This window comes from Homo sapiens, chromosome 16 (assembly GCF_000001405.40).
Source record: "Homo sapiens chromosome 16, GRCh38.p14 Primary Assembly".
Taxonomy (NCBI): Eukaryota; Metazoa; Chordata; class Mammalia; order Primates; family Hominidae; genus Homo; species Homo sapiens.
In genome coordinates, this window is record NC_000016.10 from 7,622,782 (window position 1) to 7,649,350 (window position 26,569).

Here is a 26,569-nt window from a genome sequence, read left to right on the forward strand (position 1 = left end):
CAACATTTTTTCTGCAACATCTGTGCCCAAATGGAAATATCCCTATACTTAAAACTCTACCATAACCCTTCAGAGAAGCTCATCTTTCAGGCTGGTGTAAAAGCATTAGGGATTAACTGTGAAAATATTCTTACATGGATTAGCTCAATGCTAGTCTTGCGTTCAAAAATGCATGACTGTAAAAGTATCCACCGTCCATTCGGGCTTTGGGTAAATTTTGGAAAAATCTGTCAATTGAAAGCAGTCACCTCCATTGCTAGGTACCTTATGGCAACCTCTTTGGCTTCTAAGTCCAAGAGAAGTTTGAGGCTTATGGGTCACTTTGTAGGGGACTCTCATTATAAGGTAGGAAGGTGTAGTAGTTGGCTAGTGCTGCCATAGCAAAGTATCACAGACTGGATGGCTTAACAAGCAGTTCCCAACCATTTTGGCACCCGGGTTGGGTTTTGTGGAAGGCAGTTTTTCCACGGGTCGGGTAGCAGGGATGGTTTCAGGATGATTCCAGTGCATTTCTTGTGTACCTTATTTCTATTATTATTACATTGTAATATATAATGAATTAATTATACAACTTGCCATAATGTAGAATCAGTGGGAGCCCTGGGCTTCTTTTCTTGTAACTAGACAGTCCTGTCTGGGAGCGATGGGAGGCAGTGACGGATCAGGCATTAGATTCTCATAAGGAACACACAACCAAGATCCCTAGCTCAGTTCACAATAAGATTCACACTTTTATGAAAATCCAATGCTTCCACTTATCTGACAGGAGGTGGAGCTCAGGTGGTAACATGAAGTAACATGAACAATGAGGAGCGGCTGTCAATACACATGAAGCTTTGCTCGCTCACCTGCAGCTCACCTCCTGCTGTGTGGCCCAGTAGGGTCCGTGGCCCAGGGGTTGGGGAACCCTGGCTTAAACAACAGAAATTTATTTTCTCATAATTCTGGATGCTGGAAGTCTGAGATCATGGTGTTGGCAGGGTTGGTTTCTTCTGAGGCCTCTCTCCTTGGCTTGCAGATGACCATCTTTTCTCTGTCTTCACCTGGGTTTCCCTGTGTGTCCTCATCTCCTCTTCTTGTAAGATCTGTCAGATTAAGGCCCACCCATATGACCTCATTTTAACTTAATTACAGCTTTAAAGATCTCTCTGCAAGTAAAGTCACATTCTGAAGTACTCAGAGTTATAGCATTTAAAAATGATTCTACAACAGTGGACTGAAGGAAGGACTCGATGAAATGAGTGACAGTGTAGGAACCCAAATAGCTTGTTTTTCATCTAAAATTTACCTCTGGTTGGTAAGGTTTTTGGTAAAGGACTTAGTTGTTCTGTGCCACCTTTGTAATGCCAGTAAAGGAGGACTAATGGCATCAGACGCCTACTATGGAGGGACAAATGCAAAGTAAATATTCTTTGGCAAATATTGAAAAAAGCTTTTTCTTTATGTAGAATCAAAACATTTCTAGCATTGATTCCTATTACTACTAAACTTTCAGTTATGATAGAATTATATAGCAGAAATAGAGAATTTTGGCCAAAGCCATAATAGTTATATCTAATAAAAATTGTTCTCGAATAATTATACTTATCTTAGTGAGCAGTGTGACTAATTATGTAGGCTAAGGTTTGGTTTGATATTCAGAATCATTCTTTTGTTCCTTTTCATGTATACATTTGTTACTGAACCTATGAGCACTAAACGTGATAACATGTCATCCTCTGGAAAAGCACATGGAGTTCAACAGATGTACCCCAAAGCCCAGCACAGTGCCTGGCACATAGACGAGTAGATGCCAATAAGTACCAGCCAAATGAATGATAATACTCACTACATCATAGTTGCCTAGCTGAGCACTAGAGGCAGAGGGACTAATAAGCACTTGTGCTACTCAGACATTGCCCTGCAGGGTTCTAGGGTTCTCCTCTTAGCCTTCTTCCCTGAGTAAGCTCCTTTCCTCGGCTGAGTGACATTAGGAAAGCCAGACATCAGTGGAGAGTTCTATTTTTGTGTGACTCTGCACCACCACACAGTAGAGGTTTGTTGAGGTGATACGGTTCTGATGACTGGAGAAATGCCAAGGTTGTTGGTTTTGCGCCGATTGGATTAACAATGTGAACACACGTGGAGTGGTTTTAAGGAGCGAAAAGTGTAATAGGCAAGAAAGGAGGAAGAAAGAAAAGAACAGCTTCCCCATACAGAGACCGGAGAGTGGGGCCTGGAACAGAGAAACCTTGTGTGTGGCAGATAAGTGGTAGATTATAGGGGAGGCTTGAGGAGGCGGTGTCTGATTTGCATACAGCCCAGGGGATTGCTTTGGCCAGGTGTGTCATTTATGCAGCCTGCAAAAAACCTGGCTCTCCCACCTTAGTCCTTTAATGTGTAAATGCGGGTCGCCATGATGTTCTGAACACATGGTGTTATCTGGAGGTGGCCATTAAACTGGGCACAGGTGGTGACAAGGAGAAGACAGCAGGAATCGCCACATTGAGTGAACCCTGTTCCTAATGGCGGGTATTTGCATATCAAAGCTTGCCCACCCAGCCCTTCGAGCAGTCTTTTCTGTTATAAAAGAGATGGTTTGGGGGTGGTTTCTTATTACAGGAAAATTTCCACCTAGAACCTTTACCCTTACTATCTGCCTAAAATAATTTCTTAATAACTCCTGTATTAGAGGTACAGACAGTGCATGACATATACAGAAACTTCCTGCATGGGGGCCCCAGAATACTCATTCCATCTTAGGTATTTCATAAAGTCTAGCTGTTGTTCTTTGTGTCTTCAAGAGCATCCTCCAGATTTCCTAACCCATTTTAATCTTCGAGCTCTTGAAGCTAATTGGCCACTCCCAGTTGCCAGGCAGTTGAGATGTTCCGTTCACATTTTTTGTTTAAATTCAGAAATTATGTAGGAAAAGTTCTAGTTATTCACCATGTACTGACTTGGAACTGTGCCCATTTGATACTAAAAGGGAACGGGCAGACATTGCCAAACAGCCTTTCTTTTCTTCCTTCCCATCCTCCATTTTAATTTTATTTCTTGGAAGTGTAGCATGGCTGCCTATCAGAAACCTTTGGATTCTCACTTCATTTGCTCCCTGCCTCTTAGTCTAGGTTCCTGGACTCATGAGGATAGGAAGATAAACACATGATTCCTGATCTCTTTGAATTAGTAGCATCAATGGGGGAAGACACTCATTAAATAGATTACACAACACAATTTTAAAAAGAAGAGAAAGGAAGCTGAACTCTGCCAGACAAAGGTACATAGATAGGGTTTCTAGGAGAAGCCAGAGCTGAGTCCAGAAAGGAGTTACCTAGAGCAAGGAAAAGATTTCCTGGAAAAAGACAAAGCCTCTGCAAAGGCATGGAGGTGTGAAACTGCACTGCTGTTCCGGTTTGAGTCCAGTTTTCCTCACTTAGGGGGTTGGCAGCAGAGTAAACAGTTTTCGACACTTCCTCCTTCCTGTCTGTGATGGGAAACATCCCTTCTAGGCTTGTGCCTGCCCCTTCAGGGGCCAGGAATGATCCCCTGCATGCCGTATGGAGACTACTGCTCAGCAGAAAGGGTTCCGATGCCCCATCTGAGACCTTGGCACTGGCTTACTCCCTTCCTCACTGGAGGATTCAAAATCCTGCTGGAGAGTGGCTGTGGGACATCTTGCCAGGTTGTGGGGATGCCGATGATCCCGGCACTCAGAGTGGGCGAACGTGACAGGCTTTGGAACGGGCTCTGATTATTCTGAGATTGAGGTCTGTCCCATGGAGCCAAATGTCTGCCAGGTGCTGATACAGTCATCGACAGTCCAGGCTGCGCAGGTTTCTTGTTAGAGTGGGTGAGCCAACTTTATAAGAACCAGGAAAGAAGAGAAAACACGTGAAGTAGATTGAAGCTATTTCAATCTGTAAAAGTTATTTACATGTAGTGTGTAAATCTATTTGAACTTCAGGCATGCAAATTTCCTGCCATGAACAGGCGGAAGAAAGATTGGTTGAAAAAAAACACTATTTTTAGCAAAGAGGGTAGAAGTGGAGACTTGTTTTTAAAAATGTATTATAATTCAATCATATGCATTAATCCTTCTGAGGATCAGGTATTTTCCTAGGTGTTGGGGATGAAAAGATGAGTATGATTTGGCTCTACCGCAGGTGGATTTTGTAGTTCAGACGACCAATGTCTAAGTAGAAAATTGTAGTAGAGGACCACGAAGGATCTATCAGGGAGGTTTAAAAATGCAAGATAAGAGCATAGTGTAGGTAATAACTAATTCACCCCTGAGGACAAGGGAGAGAAGAGGTCACTTTTAAACTATGTTGGAGGAGGACAGGGGAAGCCCCTCCGCCTCCTTTTTTTTTTTTTTTCTTTTAAGTTGAACCACATGAACTTGGCAACATTCAATTCTATTTGACAAAAAAAAAAAAAAAGTCAATTTGAAATGGTTTAATCTAACTCTAAGAGCAGGAACAGCATGAAGGTTTCATCCACTTCACCAACTCTAATCAAATGGGAATCATTGCCTACTGGCTGTGTTGAGAATGATTGTGAGGATTCCAGGCCAATAGGAAAGGATAATATTGAAATTGATTAATTCCGTTCTGGCTAAAGAATGGGTAGGTAGTGGTATAAATTGACCCCATTTGCCATCCCTAGATTATAAGGAATTTGATAAAAGCACAGAAGTCTGAGAAGTACAGGATGTCATCATGTGATACAAATGAAGGTTCCTGGCATTTGGCAGTAGAAGGTTTATGTTGAAGGCTAGGGACAGATAGAAGATCCAGCTCAGTGGACTCAATGAAGAGCTATGTTGAAGCTATATTGAGAAGTGCTTTGAATGACCTTGTAGGCCCTCTCCATACTGCTGCTTGTACCTTATTACCTATTTGACTTACTTTTTAAAACAAACACACTTACCTTTCCCTGCCCAAAAAAATGCATGGAGGTTGCAGTGTTCTCTGCTGCTTTGGTTTTGTCGAATTCAAAGCGTCCTTTTAAGAAAAGGTCACAAAGCACTAAGGGAACATACAGTAAGTACTTTCCAAATTAAATTGGAGGATGCTTTTAGATAAAACAAAAACCAAGTCCTGTGAAGGCATAGATTTTGTTTTACAAAAGGTCAAAATCATTGCATAAAGATTTTTTTTTTTTTTAACTACGAAGAAAGTATCCAAAGAAAATATTTCAGTCCAGGTTCTCAGAATCCACAGCATTAAAAAAAATTAGGAATGCTTCATTATGCCGTGCCAGAGGTTAGCTTTCCAGGCAAAAATCTGTGCTGTGTCCCAGTGGAATTCTATAAATTGCATCGAGGATATTGAAAATTGACCCAAGGGTTTTAACCATACAATACTGAAATGTCCTTCTGTGTATGTTTGTGTTACAGTTATACATTTTTCTTTTGAAATTTAGCACCCCAAGAAACTTCATAGCTGATTTTAAGTGTTTTTTTAAACCAGGCGTGCACAGGAGAGAAGGTTGAGGAGCATTCCCTAAATCCACTTGCTAGGATCCTATCGTAGATGATTCCGACCTGATAACTCTCTGTATATCCTATAGAAACACATTCATTTATTTCTAAGATTTCTAGCAGTGAGCAGAAGCACATAGATAACCGCTGCAGAGTCACACAGGAGTACTCATTGATAAACACCACTGACTGTAGAGGGGACTAACTGTCTTTCCTGGTAGGTAGCTTGCCTCCCCTTGCTTGGTTTCATATCCCAATCTCCATTCTTTGGAGTTTGGTTTGTTTGCTGTTAATCCCCAGTGACCTGCTAAAACTGGAAATACCTGAGGCGAGGTTAAACCATGGAAAGTATCATCTCATACGTTGTGATAAACTTTTTTTTTTGAGATGGAGTTTTGCTCTTGTCACCCAGGCTGGAGTGTAATGGCGTGATCTCGGCTTACTGCAACCTCCACCTCCTGGGTTCAAGTGATTCTCCTGCCTCAGTCTCCTGAGTAGCTGGAATTACAGGCGCCTGCCACCACACCCAGCTAATTTTTGTGTTTTTAGTAGAGACAGGATTTCACCATGTTGGCCAGGCTGGTCTCGAACTCCTAACCTCAGGTGATCTACCTGCCTTGGCCTCCCAAAGTACTGGAATGACAGGCATGAGCCACTACACCTGGCCGATAAACTGTTTTTAAATGAAGAAGAAAGAACTATTAGTTTAGCACAGGTGAATCATACTGACACTCCGCCAGACTCTTGATATATTTACTACCCAGAGAAGGTTAGTTAATTTCGAGTTAATTTCACTGTTGTGTGAAGGGCTATTTTGCGGGTGGGGGTGGCTGTTCTCCAGCTATAAGCATGGGAAACCAGATCGAAAAAGACCATGGGACATTCCTTCAGGTAGAACCTCTGGCCCTGGGCTGCTTCTCCCTGGGAAAAAGTGGATGGAGTTGTCAGACCGGTAACAGGGGAAGAGTGAGATGGGTTAGAAAGAATTGTGTCTGGTTTACTGTCCCTTGATGACATCACCGTGCAGTCCCTCTGTGTGGCAGGACCCCACACGCTTTGGAAGTTTTAACTACATTTTTGTTGATCATAGGGAAGATACAGAAGGAGCATAGAACCATTCCCTAGGGCAAGTCTCCAAGGATATAGAAAAGTTCCCTGTTCTGCGGGTGCACTTGTAAGGTTGGCTTCTTATCATGGGAGATTGCTTTCCCGTTGCGGTCCTGACAGGGGAATCCAAATCAAACTGGGGCGGTTGACCTTCCCCAGTCAAGGAAGTGACCAGAAACCACAGGGAGGTATTTCCATCACCAGTAATGGCCTTAAAACTCCTCAGAATTCTAATTATTTTCAAAGTCTTGGAGTTTGAGCTTTGCAGCAGTGGGAAAGTAGCACTGATACCCTGACAATTCCTGACCCCAGTCATCCCTGGAGTGGGTGGTTGTTCAAAATCTGTCATAGATTGAGGAGGTATCTCAGGATTCCACCATTATTTGCCGCTGTAAAATTCCACCTTGCAAGGATGAACCCAGTGCCCTTCGCTTTAAATCAGGAGGAGGCAAGTCATTGCTGCAATGCAGCCGCAGTTTGCAGGATGAGCTAGGCAGCCTTTCTGGCTGGAAGGCAGAGAGCTTTAGGGAAGAAAGCGGGAATACAGAAGCCGAAGATTCTCTCATCCAGTGTCCAGTGTGGGTCCAGGGTGGGTCCCAGGGATGGCAAAAAGTTGCAATTTTTCTTTCTCCGCCTTACTTCTGTTCTTCCTCTGAAGAACTGATTCGGAAAGACTGACATTTGAAGGAAGTTACCGTTTTCTCTAAACCTATCAACATGTATGCTTACTATTGATTGAGTGATTATTACATGCCAGCCCCTGCCCTGGGTACGTCTCCAGTCATATGATGCACAGCCATTCTCGGAGGTAGGTATATTTACCCCTGTTTTCCAGATGGAAACACTGAGGCACAGAGAGGTACAGTGACTTGCCAAGATCACACAGTGAAGAGGTGTCTGAGTCAGGCTTACTATCTAGCTCCCTCCAATATTTCTCAAGTTCCCTTTTCAGTATGCCACGCTGCTTCCATTCCTGATCTGAACCTGGGCCCTGGGGCAACCAGAGTCCGCTACACAACCCCGTGTGAAAAGTCATGACGTGTGCTTGGTGGGCCGGGTTGTGGTGGGTGGGGGGGCTTCCATTGATTCCCTTTGGCTAAGGCAGGGGGCTTTGTTGGGTACCCTTGTCCTGCGCTCTGGGATGTGGCTATGTTTTCATTTCTCTGCATTTCTCGGTTGCATTGCCGTGATCTCTCAGGTGTAGTGTACCGATTCCCAAACCAGATACCATCTCTCTCTCTCTTTCGTAGGCACGGTCCTGTTGTGCCAGGCCAACCAGGAGGGATCTTCCATGTACAGTGCCCCCAGTTCACTTGTATATACTTCTGCAAGTAAGCCCACTGTCGTGGCTCTTTTTGTTTTGTGACATAAATCTGAGTCCAATCACCTTCCCTGCCATGTAAGTTCTCTCCCCCTCCCTCTGCCCCACCCTCTCTTGTGGCTCTCTCTGAGGTGAAGTTAATTTTCATAAGCATGTCTGTCTCCCATGCCACTTCCCAGATGTCCTGGACATTCTCTGTTAGATCCGTCAGGATTGGGTCCAATGGTTGGGAATGTGGGCATGGGGTTGGTGGGGAGGGGCATGGGAGGGTGGGAAGCTTTAGCTCATTGCCTGCCTTCTATCATAGCTTTGCAAATTAATATAAAAATAATTTAAATAGCATATACAGGCCACCCCAAAGGCACCCTTGCCTAGTAAAAGATGCTTAACCAGGATTCTTGTACACAGTTGTCTCACGATGGAAAATACCACTAGCCTGCAGCTAGTCACTTGTTTGCAAGGCTGTTCTGTCCTTTGCTATGTAATTCCAATGAGGAGGAGGAGGAGGAGGAGGAGCAGAGAGAGAAATGTGGTTCCCCCCTCATTTAATCAAGTGCAGGGGCAGCAACATTAAATAACTGTCTTTTAAAAAATCGGGGCACTTTTAAACGTAGATAAGTATACCCATCCAGTGCGGGAGGGAAGAGACCCAAAATAAATACAGGAAGTAGATCACAACATTGACATGGAAGAACCGAAGATTTCTCTGCCTCGGATGGATGCTCTGGGTTCAAGGATGCCCTATCCTCACCCCAATTCCCAGAGCAGGTAGAAGAATTAAAGCCGCCACTGACTCTACCATGTTCTCCCAGAGGGTATACCCCTTCTTAAAGAATCTCCCAGCCACAGCTGAAACTTTAACATCTGTTTTATACAATGTGTGTAAATCCTGTGGAGTTGCCGTAACTGCAGAATGAGTCGTCTTTAGGGTCAGTGCTTAAAAGTGAGTCTGGGTGCCTGGAGTGGGGGTGGGGCTGTTTCTCAGAGTAGTTGTAAAAGGCAGGGATGGGGAGGAGAGCAGGAGTACCAGGCTCAAGGGATAAGAGACGTAGGAGAATCCTCACCATCGTGCCAAAACCAAACATCTTCGTTTCCTAAATTGTGAAGCTGAGGAAAACCAACCTCCTCACTGTTGGGGCAGCACCTCCCTGTTACCAGCAGTCACAGGGAATCAAAAATATAATGTGACACACCCAAGGGTCTGAAGTCTTCAGGAGGTCTGACAGCCAGTTGTTTCTCACAGTTAGAGGTTTTGAGACAAAGTCTCACTCTGTTACCCAGGCTGGAGTGCAGTGGTGCCATCTCAGCTCACTGCAACCTCCGCCTCCTGGGCTCAAGCAATTCTCATGACTCAGCCTCCCAAGTAGCCGGGATTATAGGTATGTACCACCACTCCCACTGATTTTTGTATTTTTAGCAGAGATGAGGTTTCCCCATCTTGGCCAGGCTGGTCTCAAAGTCCTGACCTCAGATGATCCATCCACCTCAGCCTCCCAAAGTACTGGAATTACAGGCGTGAGCCACTGCCCCTGGCCCAGACTATAATCTTTAATGGCAATTTTGGCATTAATTAAATGCAAGACATTTTTCTGTGCCTCCCAAGAAGCCCAAATCTAATCATATTGGCAAGAAGTGGTTCTTTCTGAATTTGTGACAACAAATTCAGAAGGGCCTCCTTGGGGCCAGTGTAAATGTGTGTGCATGTATCTCCTGAAATTGTAATGTTACTACACATTTTCACATGTCCAGCCTTGTGTATTCCTCTCAAAACCAGCACCAGGTAGGTATCACAATGTTTGCTTTACAACTGAGGAAATGGAGGGCAATCCCAGAGCCAGTGTGTAATAGATTTGTCTTCTGAACCTGGGAACATTATTCAACCTTCAGCTACCTTTCTGAGTCCATTTGACTAAATCTGATCGCTGTACCATTTACCTAGCCTTCCTCGTCTATATTATTTTCTGAAAGAGAGTTGGTGTGCCAAAACTTACCATAGGGCTGGGTCCTAGAGTATTATTTTTTTCTCTAACATTGCGGTCCTATAGAAGTGTCTGGGATAAAATCTTTATGCTATCCAGCATAGTGCTGATGGAACTGAGACACTCATTTTTATGTTATATTAATTAGCCATATAGGGGCTAATGGTTACCATATTGGACAGTATGGCTCTATATGATGATATGACATATCTATATTTCAATTTTCTTTACAGAAGTGAACAAAACAATCAACTCCAAAAGTGTGCTAGTTTGAATTGGTATAGCTATTCTAAAGTGAATTGGGGAAGCATCTCTCACATCACATGAAAATATTTCCCAAATTCTCCATAATAAAATAGCTGAAGCATAGAGAGAAAATGAAACCATCTAAAGCGAGGGCCACCCAAGCCAGCCCATGGCCTGTGTTACAAGGCTTATGAATGAAGAATGATGTTTAGATTTTCCAAGGATTGAAAAAAACAAAACAAAAACAAAGAATGTGCCAGAGACCAAGGTGGCCTGCAAAGCCTAACGTTTTAACAGTCCGGCTCTTTACAGAAGAAGTGTACTGATCTCCAATTTAAAGGGTCGATTTTAGTATTAAAAATACAAAGTGGCAATATCACTGCACTGTGTGTAGCTGTACCTTTTTCTATGTTTAAAGTAAAAATTAACAATTATGAAATTGTATAATGTGCATCCAACATCCTTCATTTCTAAATTGTATCAGTCGTATTACCTGCACATTATATGCCATGTGCTTTTTATAAAAATATGTTAATGAACCCATAGTATTGTTTCATTATATTATATTTTAATCTATTCCCCCATTCTTGAGAACTTAGGTTCATAGCAATTTTTTTTCAAAAATATTAAACAAAATAAACACCCTTCAATAGAGCAGTTTTAAAGAAAATAGCTAATTTTACCACCCCATTAAAAAGCAAAATGAAAACTAGTTTCTTACATTAAGAATCTTCACTTGTCGAGGCTTAAGCAAGGGCATTCAGATGGTCAATCTCGATTAGTATTTTGTAATGGTGACCAACTCTGAGACCCCTCCCTCTCCAATTGGGTAGGCAGAGGGGCCTTCAGTTATTTCTGTTTGCAGGCTGTGCATTGGTGTTGAATGTTAAGTTTATCCGCAAATCCCTAAGACACATTGCTGCGGTTTCCTTTCTCTTTTATGGCTTTTTGGTCTAGGCTGTTTGTGGATTGCTGGCTTGGCAACATTCACTTAGGTTTTTCTCTTCCAGATTAGGTGCATATTCTACTACAAAACCATTCCCCATTTCCTGCAACAGGTCAGCTGGCACATAAAGGGTTATTTTTACATGCAGGCCTGTGCGCACACACACACACGAGTTATATTCATGGTCATCCAGGATTTTTCTTCTCCCAACAGTTTCGATTTGCACAGGGCTGAGAGTCACATATTTTATCTTTGCTCTCTGATGGGTGCAGACTTTTTCTCTAGGAATCCAACCATTGCCCTCAAAGCTGAGGCTACCATACTTTTCAGCAATTGTGTAGGATGCTCTTGTTTTTTAACTTGAAAATGCATATGTTCCTCATTTCTGTTTAACAGCTGTGCTCCTGAAGGAAGGTGTGTGTAAATTACACTTTTGTATGTTGGATCCTATGTGTCTACAGACTTGCAAGATAACTCTGGAGCTTCGTTTTTGTTTTTTTGCGTTTTTTTCCTCCATGGATCTTTAACTGGCCTTTGATGTTTGTTTTTTTTTTTCGAGACTTAAATTGTACCTCTTCCTAGTCAAATAGCTAATCATCTGTAAATAACATCCTTAAATGCAGTAGGGGAGATGGTTTTTAAAGGAACCCTGCTGAATTAGTCTGTAATGAAAATAATTCCTACTGAAGTTATCTGCTTTTGATATGCATTTTTGCATAACAGTGAGGTTTTCTCCCCCATTAAGTGAATCATCCTAACAATGTGACCCAGGACTCATAAAAGTATTAAGAGAAAGATTTTCACTGATAACTTTGTGTCCATACAACTAATTCCGTAGACTCTTCCATCGGACCCCAAATGACTCCAGTTTTTCTCCGTCACCCCTGAACTTCATGCAGGTTTAAAACCCTAGTTCAAATTGTGTCACAGGTCATCATGCATCCTCTTACACGTCCTAATAAACTACTCTCATCCAGAGTGTAAAATGGGCCTGCTTTCTATGAAACTTAAATGAAGAAAGAACAAAACTCTAGAGAATTAGGCAACATCACCTAGTGTCAAATGGAAAACATTTGCAATTAATATTTTTCAATAGGCTTTCAATAGAAACAATTCAACCCCTTAACAGAAAGGTTTAGTGAAATGGGCAGGGCTGCTTGGTATGTGGACTGTTCATTCCATTCCGAAGGCCAGTGGTCAGCCTGCTCCTCTTGTTGAGGGGAAAGGTACTAGGTGTATTATTGCCAGCGCTGTTTTGCATATGGCGAATGCTCAACATCAAAATTGGCACCAGGCAGAAATAGGAAGGTAAAGAACATACCACATCTCTTCCAAATTAATACATGAGTTTCATTTTCATTAGTTGAAGTATCTAAAGGTAAATCATTGGTTCCATGAATGAAAAAGTTCACTTCTGATTCAGATTAGCAAAGCCAGCTACCGCAGATCCTTATTTACATATGAAGTAGATGTTTCCAGAAGCACGTAAATGTTTATTTTGTTTTCTTCAGGATTTTATGAATATGTTTTAAATTACAATAGTAACAGGTGCTCATTGCAATCAATGTGAAGTGTGCAAATAAACATACACACCATTGTAATAATGTGGGAATAATATCCCCACTTTATCCAGTAACATAAACCCTTAAAAGTGTGTGGACGCCCAGTATCTTTCTACATTTTCTCCGTGGTTATTCAGGAAAGGACATACACACATGCAATGGTGGGGGCGGGGGACGGTGTGTTATTAGTTTGACTTTACAGAGGAGAGTATACACAGATGTTACATGGACATTACATATATCAATCATATTTAGTTTCACATAATACATTGTGACCGTCTCCCTTTAAGCCTTTTAGATATTTTCATCCAGTTTGTTTAATGACATAAATGGTTGACAGTCAATTCAACCATTCTCTATCCATAGTCATTCAAGCCACTTCTTTTTACTTTTTATTTTATTTATTTATTTTTTTATTTTTTGAGATGGAGTCTTGCTCTGTCACCCAGGCTGCAGTGCAGTAGCGCAGTCCCGGCTCACTGCAAACTCCACCTCCTGGGTTCACACCATTCTCCTGTCTCAGCCTCCCAAGTAGCTGGGACTACAGGCGCCCGCCACCATGCCCGGCTAATTTCTTTGTATTTTTAGTAGAGACGGAGTTTCACGTGTTAGCCAGGATGATCTCAATCTCCTGACCTCGTGATCCACCCGCCTTGGCCGCCCACAGTGGTGGGATTGCAGGCATGAGCCACTGCGCCCAGCCCAAGCTACCTCTTTTTCTATTCCCTCCACAAGGAGATAGTAAAAATATTTGCAAATACCCTTACGTGCAACTACATCCATTCTACACTTAACATTGCCAAACATGGAACTGTTGGTTCCCTTCCAGCATGCTTGCCAGCACTGCCATGTTTTGCTCTATTTTGCAAATTGCATAGTGAAAAATAACATCTCAATTTGTTTTAGTTTGTCTCTGCCTTTCTCCTATTAATGATCACCGTCTTTCACATTTTTCATTTAGACTTTACCTCTTTGAATTTCCAGTATACATCTTCCTGTTTGAGATTTTTCTTATTTTATTATCAGTTCACACGTGAGTGACACTTGTTTACTAGGATAACCTATGAATGGTTCAGATGTTACACGTGTATTTCCTGTTTTGACGATTGATGTTGCTCAGATTCCACCATACATTTTTAATTACATAGGCAAATGTATCTGTCTTTTCTGATCATTTTAGACGTCATTTTGGATTACAAAATCCCTGTCAAGAGCAAGTTTTGTTTTGCACTGTATCAGTCAGTTTGGGCTGCTATAACAAAATACCGTAGACTGGGAGGCTTAAGCCACAGACATTCATTTTCTCAAAGTTCTGGAGGCTGGAAGTCCAAGATCAGGGTGCCAAGAAAGTTAGGTTCCGGTGAGGGCTTTCTTCTTGGCTTACAGATGGCCACCTTCTCCCATGTTTTCACAAGAGAGAGACAGAGACAGAGAGAAACAGAGAGAGAGAGAGGAATAGAGCAATCTCTGGTGTCTCTTCATATAAGGGCATGAATCTTATGAAGGGCCCACCCTCAGGACCTCATCTAAACCTAATTACCTCTCAAAAGGCCCCATTTCCACAAAGCATCACATTGGGGGTTACGGCTTCCACATATGAATTTGAGTGGAGAGGACATAATTTAGTCCGTAGCAAGCCCCTTGATACAGGGATGTCAGTTTTATTTGTCAAGGGCTAGAAAAGCATTTTCTGGAAGAAATTTCTTTATTGTTCCGTATGCTTATCAATGCCAATGAGCGCGTTTTCCACAGTTCCATGAAAGCCAGAGTTGAACAGTAGATCCCCATCAGGATAAATCCTAAAGTTAATAGAAGATTAATTATCGTTTCCCCTGAAATTTTCACCCTGATACCCTTCCCTCCTCAAAAAAAAAAAAAGAAGGAAAAAAAAGATATCATGGGCAAATGCTTGGGAACCTGAATGTTATCAAAATGCAAAATCAATTCCTCATTTATTGACTTCTATGAAACTCAAGGGCAGGTGGTAGGGGCATAGTTTCAACTGATATATTGATTGCAGATTTTAAGGAAGTAATTGTGTGGAATTCATAAAACGATGATTTAAGTGGCAGAAACATACATAAATCAGGCCTGTACTATTTTACTTTTAGGTAATTGATAGAACTTCCATGGGTTTCTGTAATTAAAGTAAGGACCTAAATTAATTTACGGCTTCCTTTTTCTTCTGCACAATACAGAAAATGTCAGTGGGCTGGACTCAGTTACTAGAAAGGACACATACAGGTCATTTTGTTACTGACACATTGGTGTAAAGAATTGTGTCTTCTTTTTCCCTCACTTGCCAGTGTCTGACAGCTTCTTGCTTTCCTCCTAGATATTTTTCTACTATTTTATGGAGGGGGTGCTTAACAATAACTAGCTCCGGGACTAGGGTAAGCAAGTGACGTGCTCACTTCAAAGATTAAAGGGGTATCCAAATACCTCATAAATAGCATTTTAATGCAATATTTTTAAAAATCTAAAGTAACAGAAAAAGATCCATGATTAACAGAATATCAAGACAGAATAAGTTTTATTCCTTTTTCCTTTTGGAGCCTTAAGATCCCATATGGCTTAATCCAGCACTATTTCAATTTTGATAGTCTGCTCATCGTGGATTTAAAAAATAATTTGGGTGTTAAAAGATTGCATTAAAACATGATCTATCTCCATTACAGAGTTTTTTGGTGTTTCCTCCCTTCCACCCCCCACTTAAGTTCTGCAACGACAGTGAACGCCTGTTAACCTAGTTGCAGCCCTGAAATCATGATGATATCCATAATCATAAGTAGTGGTTATTGGGCACTCACTATATGTCAGGCATTGTGCTAAGCCCTTCTCATTAGCTTTCTTAAGAAGGAACTATAGGACAGGTATGATTAATTATGCTACCTTTTCTCAGGAGGAAATTTAGGCTTGGGGGCGTTAAGAAGCTTGTCCGAGATCACCCAGCTAGATCAGCTTTGAACCAAGCCTGTTTAAATCCCAAGCCGCCTTCTTCACTACTCTCTCAACTTACCCCAGAGGCTGGAAACAGGATGGACTCCAAGAAATGGCTGAGCAGGGAGTGGTCACGGGGAACCTCTCAGCAGCTGTCCAGCAACTCTATTTGGGCCAAGGCTGTGCTGTCTCCTCCCCATCCCATCATGTTTGGAGAGGCAGTTTTCCCCTCTTTGAGATGTCTGGCCAGGGCTTAGCAAAATTATTCTGTAAAAGGCTGGATGTTATTAATATTTTCAGCTTTACAGGCCATCTAGCCTCTGTTGCAGCGACTCAACTCTTGTTATAGCTTGAAAGTAGCCATAGACTACTGTACATATAGCCATAGACTTCTAGGTTGAAACATGAATGAATAGGCGTGACTGTGTTCCAATAAAACTTTATTTACAAAAATGGTCTGTAGGCCAGATTGGGCCCAAGCGCCATAGTTTACCCATCTCTTTGTCAGGCCGTAATTCTTACTTAAAAGGACAGAACATGGTGGCTGGCTGCTTGGGGGTGGAAATAAGGAAAATTCTTTTAAGTGTGCACCCTCATGTATTTTTTGCATTTTGTACCATTTTATCACATTTTAAATGACGTGAAGTAGTACATAAAGATAGGTACCCTTCTCCTGGTACCTATTAAGATCAAGATACAAATTGATCTTGATTTAAATGATACAAAATGATCTTGACTTAAATTTGATCAAGATACAGGAATTGGGTGGTTAGTTTTGCTTGCACAATGATCAAATCTGGTTTCAGAGGCTTAATTCTACTGACATTAGTCTAAGACCTGCCCCAGTTTCCTTGGGCAAAATGTGAAGACTCCATTGTCTTACCCAGGATCTTCTGTCTGAACTGTTTCCATTTCTATCCCCACACTTTCAACAATGCTGGCTCTAAAAGATCCTCTGGGCTGGACCCTTCCCATCAGGGAATCAGACACTCCTTCTTCTCTTTTGCTATGGTTCAGCATTACGGTGGCAGCCTACCTGTGTCCTCTTTGTCATTTTCTCAGAGATAATTCCTTCTAGTTTTTAGTCCTTTGATCGGAGAGGGGGTTGAAAGGTGTTACTTCATTCAACCAATCTTTATTGAAGTTTTTTCTATATGCCAGGTGCAATTCTACATCCTGAAAATATGCTGTGAAGATACTCTCAAGTTGGCTTCTATTATACCTATATTCTTGGGGGGACACATAACAGACAAATATATATAATGCTAAGGTTTCAGAATTTCAAACGCAGTGCTCCTAGGGGATATTTGGGAAGTAACACCCAACAGGAGACTTATTCACTGTTAGCACTGCCATTGGGGTGCCTCTCAGTAGGTGAATTAAGTGTCCCTATTTTCACCATTCTTCAACACTGTAGACAGGTGCCCTTTGCTACTGAGACCCTATTTGCTTCACCAAACCCATGGATTGAGGTGTTTTCAGACACCTACTAGGTGCCATGCTCTCCCTGCCACCTCAATCATAGCACTTATCTATTTATGAACAATAGTTGCCCACAGCATTGCAGAATTATCCAGCTACCCCCCACCCACCAATGGTGAACTCCAGAGATTATTCTTTCTCCATCACTGAAGCACCATCTCTGCTTTTCTCCATCTGCTCAACTTTTCCCATGTCCCAGCACATTTGATTAACAGATGATTTCTAAGAGGCTTTTACTAGCTCTGATATTAACTTAGTTATTCCACCTGGATCACAGTCCTCAGAATAGGTTCATTTGTATTTTTAATCCCTGCAACCACTACCCCCAACTTCTTCATCCGTGTGTTGTTTCTTTGGCTGTCATAATCATAACCCACTTTGTTGTTTGTCCTTTTTAACCAATTCCAAGAAAGAATTAAAACCACTAGTAGAACCTCTCACCCCCAGTTGTTTAAAGGGAAAGTTCTGCAAAGAGGCAGCCACATTTCAGGCAGCTGCCATGCAGCTCTCTGTCATTGCTTTCGTTATTAATCTCAATGCAGAATGGTGATTTTCATTTTTTCAGATGGGTGTCTGGCTGCAAAAGGCCGCCAGTTGCAAAAACTACCATCCCATGGTGTGCCCCCAAACATCTTATTTGTCTTGATATTTCTTTCACAGAAATACATATGACAGATAAGGAGTCACTAGAGGATGCTTTTGCTTTGTGTCAGACAGATATTAAAACAATAAACTATGTTGCCCTGGGATTCCAATGCATACACAGCCAGAGAACAAGGCCGAGATGAGATGTTTCAGAAAGGCAGTGAGGCAATTATTCTGGGGGAATTCCCTGGAAACCCCAAGTCCTGTGATAGCATTGACAGAAAGTGTTTTTTAATGCTCACATTTTCTTAAGAGGATCAACTGGCTAGTGCAGCTCCTGCATTTAACTCCTTGACAAAACTCACCCTCATCCGGCCTCATCAGAGTCAAGAGAAATCCTTCAATAGTTTGAGAGGCTTATTTTGAGAGTTTATTTTTTAAGCACTTATCTGCCCTTTATTTGCTTCCCCAAACTAATGTGGATTTACATTAAAAAAAAAAAAAGGAATCCATTTTACATTCAGAGCTCTGAGCAGGTAAGTTGCAGGGGCCAACGGCAAGATCTTGCTTGGTTCTTGGAATGTAAAAGAGGACAGTTTGATGCAATGGAGCAGGTGCACATTCCCAAGGGCCCCAGCTTTATAAGTTGAGTCAAGCTCTCTCTGGGTCTACAGAGCTGGGAAGGAACAGCTTAGGAAGGGAGAGGCTGAATCCAAGGGCACTCATAATTCAAGAGCTGGAGCAATCATTCTTTCATCAAATACCAGTCTTCTTGGATAGAAATGTGTCCAACCATAGAGGTGGCTGCTGCTTCTTCCCTTGCCTTATTTCTTTTCTAAAATAAATCTCAGTGCAAAGACCATGAGGAGCAGCTCAGGTTGCCTCTCATCCAAGGGAAAAAGAGCCTGGTGTAGTTCATATAAACCCAGTAATGTAAACACGTGCTTCAAACACCATTTTCTTAAATCATGTTTTTATATAAAAGAACTGTCATGCCAAAAGCTATTTATCCCTAATGGAGAACTTCGGAGCACTGTTAAGAAAATGCAGTTTCAGAACCAAACACCACACCACATGTTTTAGATTTATCTCCTTGAGTTTTGTTTGTATGCAACATAGGCTCTTGATGCCTAATACTTTTCATATGAAAGCAAACAGAAAGGCACAACCATCTATGGGTATTTATTATCCCTACCCTTACTATTTGCTACAGGAGTCTCAAACATTTCCAGAAGATCATTTTTCCTTTCTCTGGCAAGTCCTAATTCCCACTAGTGGTTTTACAGCATTTTTCTTGAGCTACAGCGTGACTTAGTGAAAAGAGCTGGATTCAGGAAAGTCTGGGAGTAAACTGTCACGGTAGACTAGTGCTGTGACCTTGGCCAAGTCTCCTCGCCATGTAAATAGCCATGACTACCTACCTACCCATGAGCACTAAATGAGATTGTTGTGCAGCGTCCTCCAGGCTGCTTGAGGCGTTACAGCTCCTCAAATGCTACTCTTTCTTTTTCTGGCTCAGAAGCCACCTTCTCCAGGATTTTTTAAAGTCCACCAAACCAGATGTGATGGTGTACTTTTATAGTCCTAGCTACTGGAAGGGCTGAGGTGGGAGGATGACTTGAGCCCAGGAGTTTGAGATTGCAGTGATCCATGACCACGCCACTGCACTCTAGCCTGGGGGAGACCCTGTCTCAAAAAATAAAGTTCACCAAAGAAGCGGGTTTGGATGGTTTATATTAGTCCAGTGACTGGACTGGTGGACCACTCCTGGATGGTAGTTCCTTAGTCTATTCTATATGGGTGTTTTGGAGGCTCTGGCTCAGATATCAGGCAGATGATCCCTAGGCTCAGACAGTACCTGTCCTCCAGGTTGGCTTTGGGCATTGATCAAAGGATCAGGACTCTTTTTTTTAAGTCTGAAAGCTGATGCTCAAAATCAGATGGCCTCAGCACTGACACACAGATCAGCTATCCCCACAGCTATGGCTGGGACTGAAATGAACAATGCATGTGCGTCGCGTACCCATCTTGTGAGCCACCGTCAGACCCCTCTGAAGGCTTCATGTTCAGGAGCTGCGTCAGCCCAAGAGAACCTTGGGAAATCCAGCCCAGCATAAGGAAGCTAATTTATCTCACTTGCCCTGTTTCCTACCTGGAGAGGCAATTCACCGAGCTTGCTGTTTCAGCCAGCTGTTAGATAGAACATGAATGATTTAACAATTGAAACTTCAGTATGTATATGCACTGGATAAAGTAATTATATAAATTATTTGGGTTTTTTTTTTCCGTGGTTTCCCGGGAAACAACAACATGGTTATCAGTACAGATTTTGTTAAACTAATAGATGATGACGAACTGCTGCATCCAAATTAAAATAAATCTCAGCTCTTCAGGGCTTTGTCTTCTCCTTCAAAGGACAGAAAGCACCTTTGCAAATGCCTTTTGCAGTTCTGCCAAGTTAAACACTCCAAGACTGAGACTCATTCTCATTTTGCCGAATGTTACAAAAATCCTGCCCGGCGGGGGAAATTGTCGATACCTGTGAGTAGGCAAATCACAAATACCTCTTCTGCATAGTAAAAACATATCACTACACATTTAGCAGCCATGACATTTGCCACTTGTCTGTTGGATTAATCTAGCCATTTATAACCTGTGAGGAAAGATACAACAGCTAACTTTGGGAGGTAAGCAGGAACAGCACGCCAATTAGTTACCACCAATTCTACTGCCTTCGCTCAGAGACACAAGGACCTTACATGATCAAAGAATATTCATGTGTGTGAATGGTGTGTGTGTCTTTTGCTGTTGCTTTAATTTGTTAAGTTAGGGGAACTTTCTCCTTTGGGAACACCAGACTCGTTGCTCAGAGTAAATCCCAGTGTGCTCATTACATGTAATTTTATTTTCCTAGATGACTATTTTTATTTCCACAAAAAGAAGACTTATTTCAAAAACCCAAGTTGTAATGTGATATTTGATAACATATTAAAAAAGCAATTATATATAGAAAAACGTGCAATAGCCCAAAATGTTATGAAGGTTTCTTATGCAGATCTTCCAAGGCTTTGAAATAAGTTTCTCATTCCAGTCTTCCAAATTAGAAATTTCTAGCTGAATTTAGTTGTAAGGAGCTCATCATTGTGACAGTAATCAGGTTTGTGTTCATCTGCAGCCTTTACTCACACTGTACTAGTACAAACCTGCTCACTAACTCTACAGAATCTGCATTCCCAATATTTTTGGGTTGAACACAACCTCCCCCTCACATCGAGATGTAGAGGTAAACCCTAGTGGCAAAGGGAAACAGCCTGCCTTTGAACTCTTACCAGGAACATAAATCAGTGGTGATCCCTATGGCCGGCATCCAATTAGCAGAAAAGGAACAGGGCCTTTCCAGGTGTCTTGAAATCTCAGAACTTAAGTATCTAACAGAAGAAATGGCGGGCACACACACAGACCCTCTAATGTCTCCCCTATCCCCCAACAAGAAGCATATTGAGATCTCTGGGAGGACTGTCAACAGATTCCCCTGCAAATTAACCCAGTCTATGATGAATTGGGGCTGGCTCTGTCTCAGATGTGGTATGGATATAGGGAGATGATGTAGCAGCTTGTACAGGCAATAGGAGGGAATCCAAACTGAGAGTCTCTAAGAAGCAGAGAGAGAGTAGAAGTAGAAAGCTTTTCCCGGAGCCTGACTGGGGTTGCCTTTATGTTGCATGATGGATAAAATCATAGGCTTTGGTGTCAGGCTGCCTTGGTTCAAACCGCTGGGTGAGTATCTGAGCCACTCTATACCTCCATCTCCACCCCAGGAAAGTGAAGATAGCAACAATCATGGTTCATATGGTTTTGTGAGGCGTTAGTGGGTTAATCTCCGGGTCTGGCAATTAGCAAGTGCTAGTAAATCCTAGCTGTTATCATCATGCAATTGAATTTTCTCCACCTGATAATGGAGCCTCAGAGGTTGGAATTTTGCCAACTGCAATCACATCGTTCCTTGAATTACTCCAGTTATCACTGCCTGGGTTTTTAGACAAGGGAGGTCCAGGATCCCTTATCACTAACTCCATCACCCCAGAGTTTCTGTGGGAATATGCATCCCTCACAGGCCGCTCCTTAGCAACTCTCACCCGTTTGAGGATTGCCACCCATTTTCTTTCGTAACTGTAGGACTATGGCATTCCGAGTTCATCACACACCGTAGTCAATACACATATCAGTGATCACCTTGTGCTCGGTCATCTTCTAGATGTTGGAGACACAGTAGGGACCAACATAGAGTCCTCAGGACATCCCTATAGAGAGATGTATAAGGAAGTTGAAATCAACTCAGGTGATAAGAAACTAATGGGAAGGAAAAAGAAAACAACAGGGTAATATGATGGTAACTGGTAACAGTTGTGGGTGTCAGGAGATGTGAAATTAGATAAAGAGGTAAAGCCTTTGGAGGGAGCGATGTTTGAACTGAGAACTGAATTTGGGAGTCAAGTTCACTGTTAGAGCCTGGACAAAGGAGAGAGAATCTGCCAAAAGCCACTGAAATACAGCCAAGTGAGGCTGGAGAAAAAAGAGACATTTTAGCCTCTTACAATCTTATTCCCGAAGTCTAGCTGAAGTCGAGATTTAGATCAATATATTCAGCTTGGACAATCAGGCCAGCACGTTGTCACCATCTTTTTTTTCCCTTTCAAAAATGTGCATTTCTCTCCAAGTTCACATTCTTGCCAATTCCTTCGATGCATCCCAATCAGACCTATAACAGCCTAGAAACTTCTGGCTAATTTGGATTTGACTAAAACTTTTCTACCATGACGTTATGTAAAGAGATTCAATTATGGTGCGCAGTGTTTTGTGAGTAACTACCACCCATAAAAAGTTAATTAATCAGGGCTGTGTCAATTTCCTCGTGCCATGTCAATTTGCTGCAAGGTAATTAATCACTAATCACCCACCAAGCAGCAGGCTGAGGGACAATCCCTGAGTCATTTATTGTCTTTCCCCAAATAAATGGCACACGCAGCCAGGAAGAAACACATCTTGCCTTTCATAATATTTTTATCGACACTTTTGCATGTTGTAATAGACTGCAGCAACAAGCAGCTGCAGTTCAATGGAATATGAATATTAAAGAAACAAATGAGCAGAGATTTATAGGACATTGCGTTTCTGTAATGTCAGTGTTGAGATTAAACCAAGCAAATGAACAGTGAAAAATTACTCTTCCATGTGGAGCATGGTGATTAGACTTGTACATTAATTAGAAATTTTTGTTTTCCTATTCAATGCATTTCAAATGAGAATGTCCTAGAAGAAACTGTTTGTCCAAAATGTAGATTTATTCACTTCTAAACAGCAGTATTTAATATCAACATGCATTTCATACTGAAACAAGGGTCAATCCCAAATGTGTGTTTCAGGGATAAATGTATGTGTATATGAGAACTGGAGATTCGACAAATTAAGTGGCCGTTTTGGTCTTTCTATCAGTGACCGAAAGGATGGAAGCTTTCTCCCCCACCCACCACCCACCCACCTTTTTTTTTTTTCTGCGAAACTCTGAAATTACTGGATTTTTTTAAAAAAAGAAAAACCTTTCCATTTTTGTTTGGAGCTAGAACTTAATAAGTGCCATCATGTTAAAATTTTAATTTAAGGCCATTTAAAGAGAGTGACCTAGTTGTCTGTAAAATCCTATGTTATAAACCAATTTGATGTACTTTTGAGATTCGTTCTGAAAAAGGAGAAAACATATTTTGCCATTTGGAAAAAATCAGGTTTTTTGATTCTTCATTGTGATGTTCATTGCACGATGCCCTGCCTCGGAAATTGCTGCTCTATGAGCTATGGCTGGTGGTTTATTTCGCCTCAGTATGTTACCTATTATGCCACTTCTTAATTTATGGTCCAGCACATGGAATGGGAGTTCCCCCAAGGGGAATCCTGCAAAACCATCAACCCGCTGTTGAAAGCACATCTGCACCCCCAGAATTGTGTAAGTGAATATTTCCTACCATAAATTACCCACAGAACAATTTCACCCCAAATTTGCATGAATCTCTCTCCATCTTAAAACCTTCCAAGGCTGGGGAAATGTGTCATTATGGAGCAAAGGGAGAGGAGGAGCAGGACAAAGAGAGCCCCCCTCATCCATTCGGATGCCCACCTTTTCCAGGGCATCTGGCAGTCTCATGCAAATTCAAACCAGTGCACAAATGCAAAGAATAATTGCCCATTAAAGCGGTTGTATATTTTTATGGCTTTGGTGCAGAATCCGCCCCCCTGTCGGGTTTTGCATCTGCTACTCTTCCATCTCCCCCAGAGCTCTAAAACTTTAATATGCAGTTTATAACCCTCAAGTATTTTCCACTGGTTTTGTGTTTTTTCTCTTGGGATTTCCTGGCTGGTGAGATGATCTCATTTGTGTTTATTTTCGAAGGTAAGCACCATGTTCGTAAAAGAGGGAGAGAAGACACACTCATCACTGTAAATACATTGAGTGCAGGGCTCATTGGAGGTGGGAGGTGGGGGCTTTGTTTTTGAGGGGGAGACAGGCAGTTAGCAGTTGACACTTTAGTAAATGGCCCATTTGGCTGGTGGATACACCCACACATCTTCCGTTCTAAAATGTTGATTTGCCGTGATACTTGAGCACCACCACAGCGTGCCTCTTGTTACATCCCTAAAGCTTCCATTTCATCGAGTTCCATGGGACAGAACTTCTTATTCCCAAGAACTGAGATGGTTACTCTACTAACCTCCCCCAGAATATGCTCTGTATATAAATCTAGCTGAAGGGTGAGAGTGGGTGGGCTGGAAATTCTCATGTGTCAACAAGATGCTCAATTGGTATTTTCTCTGAAAGCTCTTGCCTGTTTTGAGAGAAATTCATTTTTAGCTTATGAGCTGAATCCAATTTGTGTTGTAGTGATACCAGATTTTTCTCTTTGATTCATGCTGGATAAGGCTTCAGAAGGAATCTCTTCAGTATAATGAACCTATGGGTTTTCTTGTTTCCCTCATGCCAAAAACTAAGGATTTATACTATATCCACAAATCAACCTGCGTCCTTTCCATTGTTCCTTATTGATGGTCTGCTTACATGTGAGTTAACTTGAAATTGAACTAGGAAAAAAAAAAAAAAAGCAAACTTGCAGTGCTGGGGTTTAGAAATGACCATTGTTTGGTGTCTTTTTCCCCTAACATTGTTTTTTAATTAACAAAGAGGCATTTACAAATACTGGATAGGGTGATGTTTGACTTTTAACATTGATTTAAATATTTTATTTCATATTCTAGAAATGGAGAGAACATTGTGAGTTTCCACTGGGCATTTTGCATTGGCTTTATTAAATAGTCATTCATTGCCCACTTACTGGATCTAGACTTCTAAGCCAGGGTATTTGGCATGTCTGGATCCAGACATCTAAACTAGGATAGATGACATAACTCTCACTCAACAAAATATAAGTGCCATACCTCAAAGTAAACATGTAAGAGGTTCTCTTTCTATGTGGTCAAAAAACAGTTTTAGTCTTGTTTAATTTGTGTCTGAATCATCTGTCCAGGTAATCATCTCAAATATACATTTTACCATGTTCCAGAATCCTACAGACCACCACACCTGTAGGCAAATAATAAAAGCATCCATTCTTCCACACTGTGCTGGGTTTTTTAAAGGAAGTGTGGCAAACAGTTGTGTGTGTGCATGTGTGTATTTTGCCCTTGAAATGGATTATTCGTGTTAGTGGCATGCGAAGAAGCCATGTTGTCCCTAAACCAACAATTGAGGAAAAAATTATTTATTTATTTATTTTTTTTGAGACTGAGTCTTGGTCTGTCACCCAGGCTGGAGTGCATTGGCGCGATTTCTGCTCACTGCAACCTCCTCTACCTCTCCTGGGTTCAAGCGATTCTCCTGCCTCAGCCTCCCAAGTAGCTGGGACTACAGATGCATACCACCACACCCAGCTAATTTTTGTATTTTTAGTAGAGACGGGGTTACATCATGTTTCCCAGGATGATCTTGATCTCTTGACCTTGTGATCTGCCCACCTTGGCCTCCCAAAGTGTTGGGATTACAGGTGTGAGACACTGTGCCTGACCAGGAAAATTCTTCTAATAAAGATGGGAAGAAACACAGAAGGCACAGTCATAAGTCAGAAGAGTTTGGAATTATCAAGATTGTTATTTTCTATTGTTCCTGGTTGCACATAATTATTTTATTCAGGGACTGTTGTTGCTGGGTTGTCAGAGAGCATGGTCTGGGGCTATATGGAAGGGTGAGATGTGATGAAGACCCTTTAATAGGTGTTACCTGTCTGGGGCCAAAACTGGAGTCCCGCTTTTCCCCTGAACAAGAAACAATTTTAAATCCTGATAGTGTGCTGCCATCGAGGAGAATTTAAATGAATTGAGGGCTCTGACAATTCCAAGTGCAACAAACTTGGTCCAAGCAGCCTCCCCTTGCTTGATTGAAATCATACTCTTTCAAAATCTGGTTACTTTTTCCGAGACAGTGAAAAACGTACAAGGGTAGAAGTGGAAATTATCTTTCTAGGGATTGTGACTAAGTTTCAGTTGTGTTACAGGAAAAGGGTTCCTATCCAGACCCTAAGAGAGGATTCTTGGATCTTGTGCAAAAAAAGAATTCGGGGCCAGTCCACAGTGCAAAGCAAAAGGAAGCTTATAAAGAAAGTAAAATGGGGAAAGTACAGCTACTCCATAGACAGTAGGATGTTCCCAAAAGTAAGAGGAGGAGCATGTCCACCCCTTGGTATAATACTTGTTTATATAGGATAAAAAAAAATAAGATCATGGGGAAATGTGCTCTGCTACAAGGGTTTGTGATAAAGGATTAATTTTCTTAATTACTATATTTTGCAAGAATCAATATTATCTTTAAAGCAAATTTAGGAATGCTTCTGTTCACAA

General features: G+C 41.7%; 1 protein-coding gene across 52 annotated transcripts in view; it reads left to right on the forward strand.

The window, feature by feature from the left end:
* RBFOX1 (RNA binding fox-1 homolog 1) overlaps positions 1-26,569 on the forward strand; it is a 2,473,620-nt gene that overhangs the window by 2,383,061 nt on the left and 63,990 nt on the right. For 37 of the 52 annotated variants that reach the window (NM_001415887.1, XM_017023318.3, XM_024450303.2 and 34 more), the window contains one exon: positions 7,822-7,902. The exons of the other annotated variants lie outside the window; for them this stretch is intronic. In NM_001415887.1, the coding sequence (NP_001402816.1) occupies positions 7,822-7,902 (81 nt within the window). The remainder of the gene's footprint in view (positions 1-7,821; positions 7,903-26,569) is intronic. 52 annotated transcript variants of the gene reach the window in all.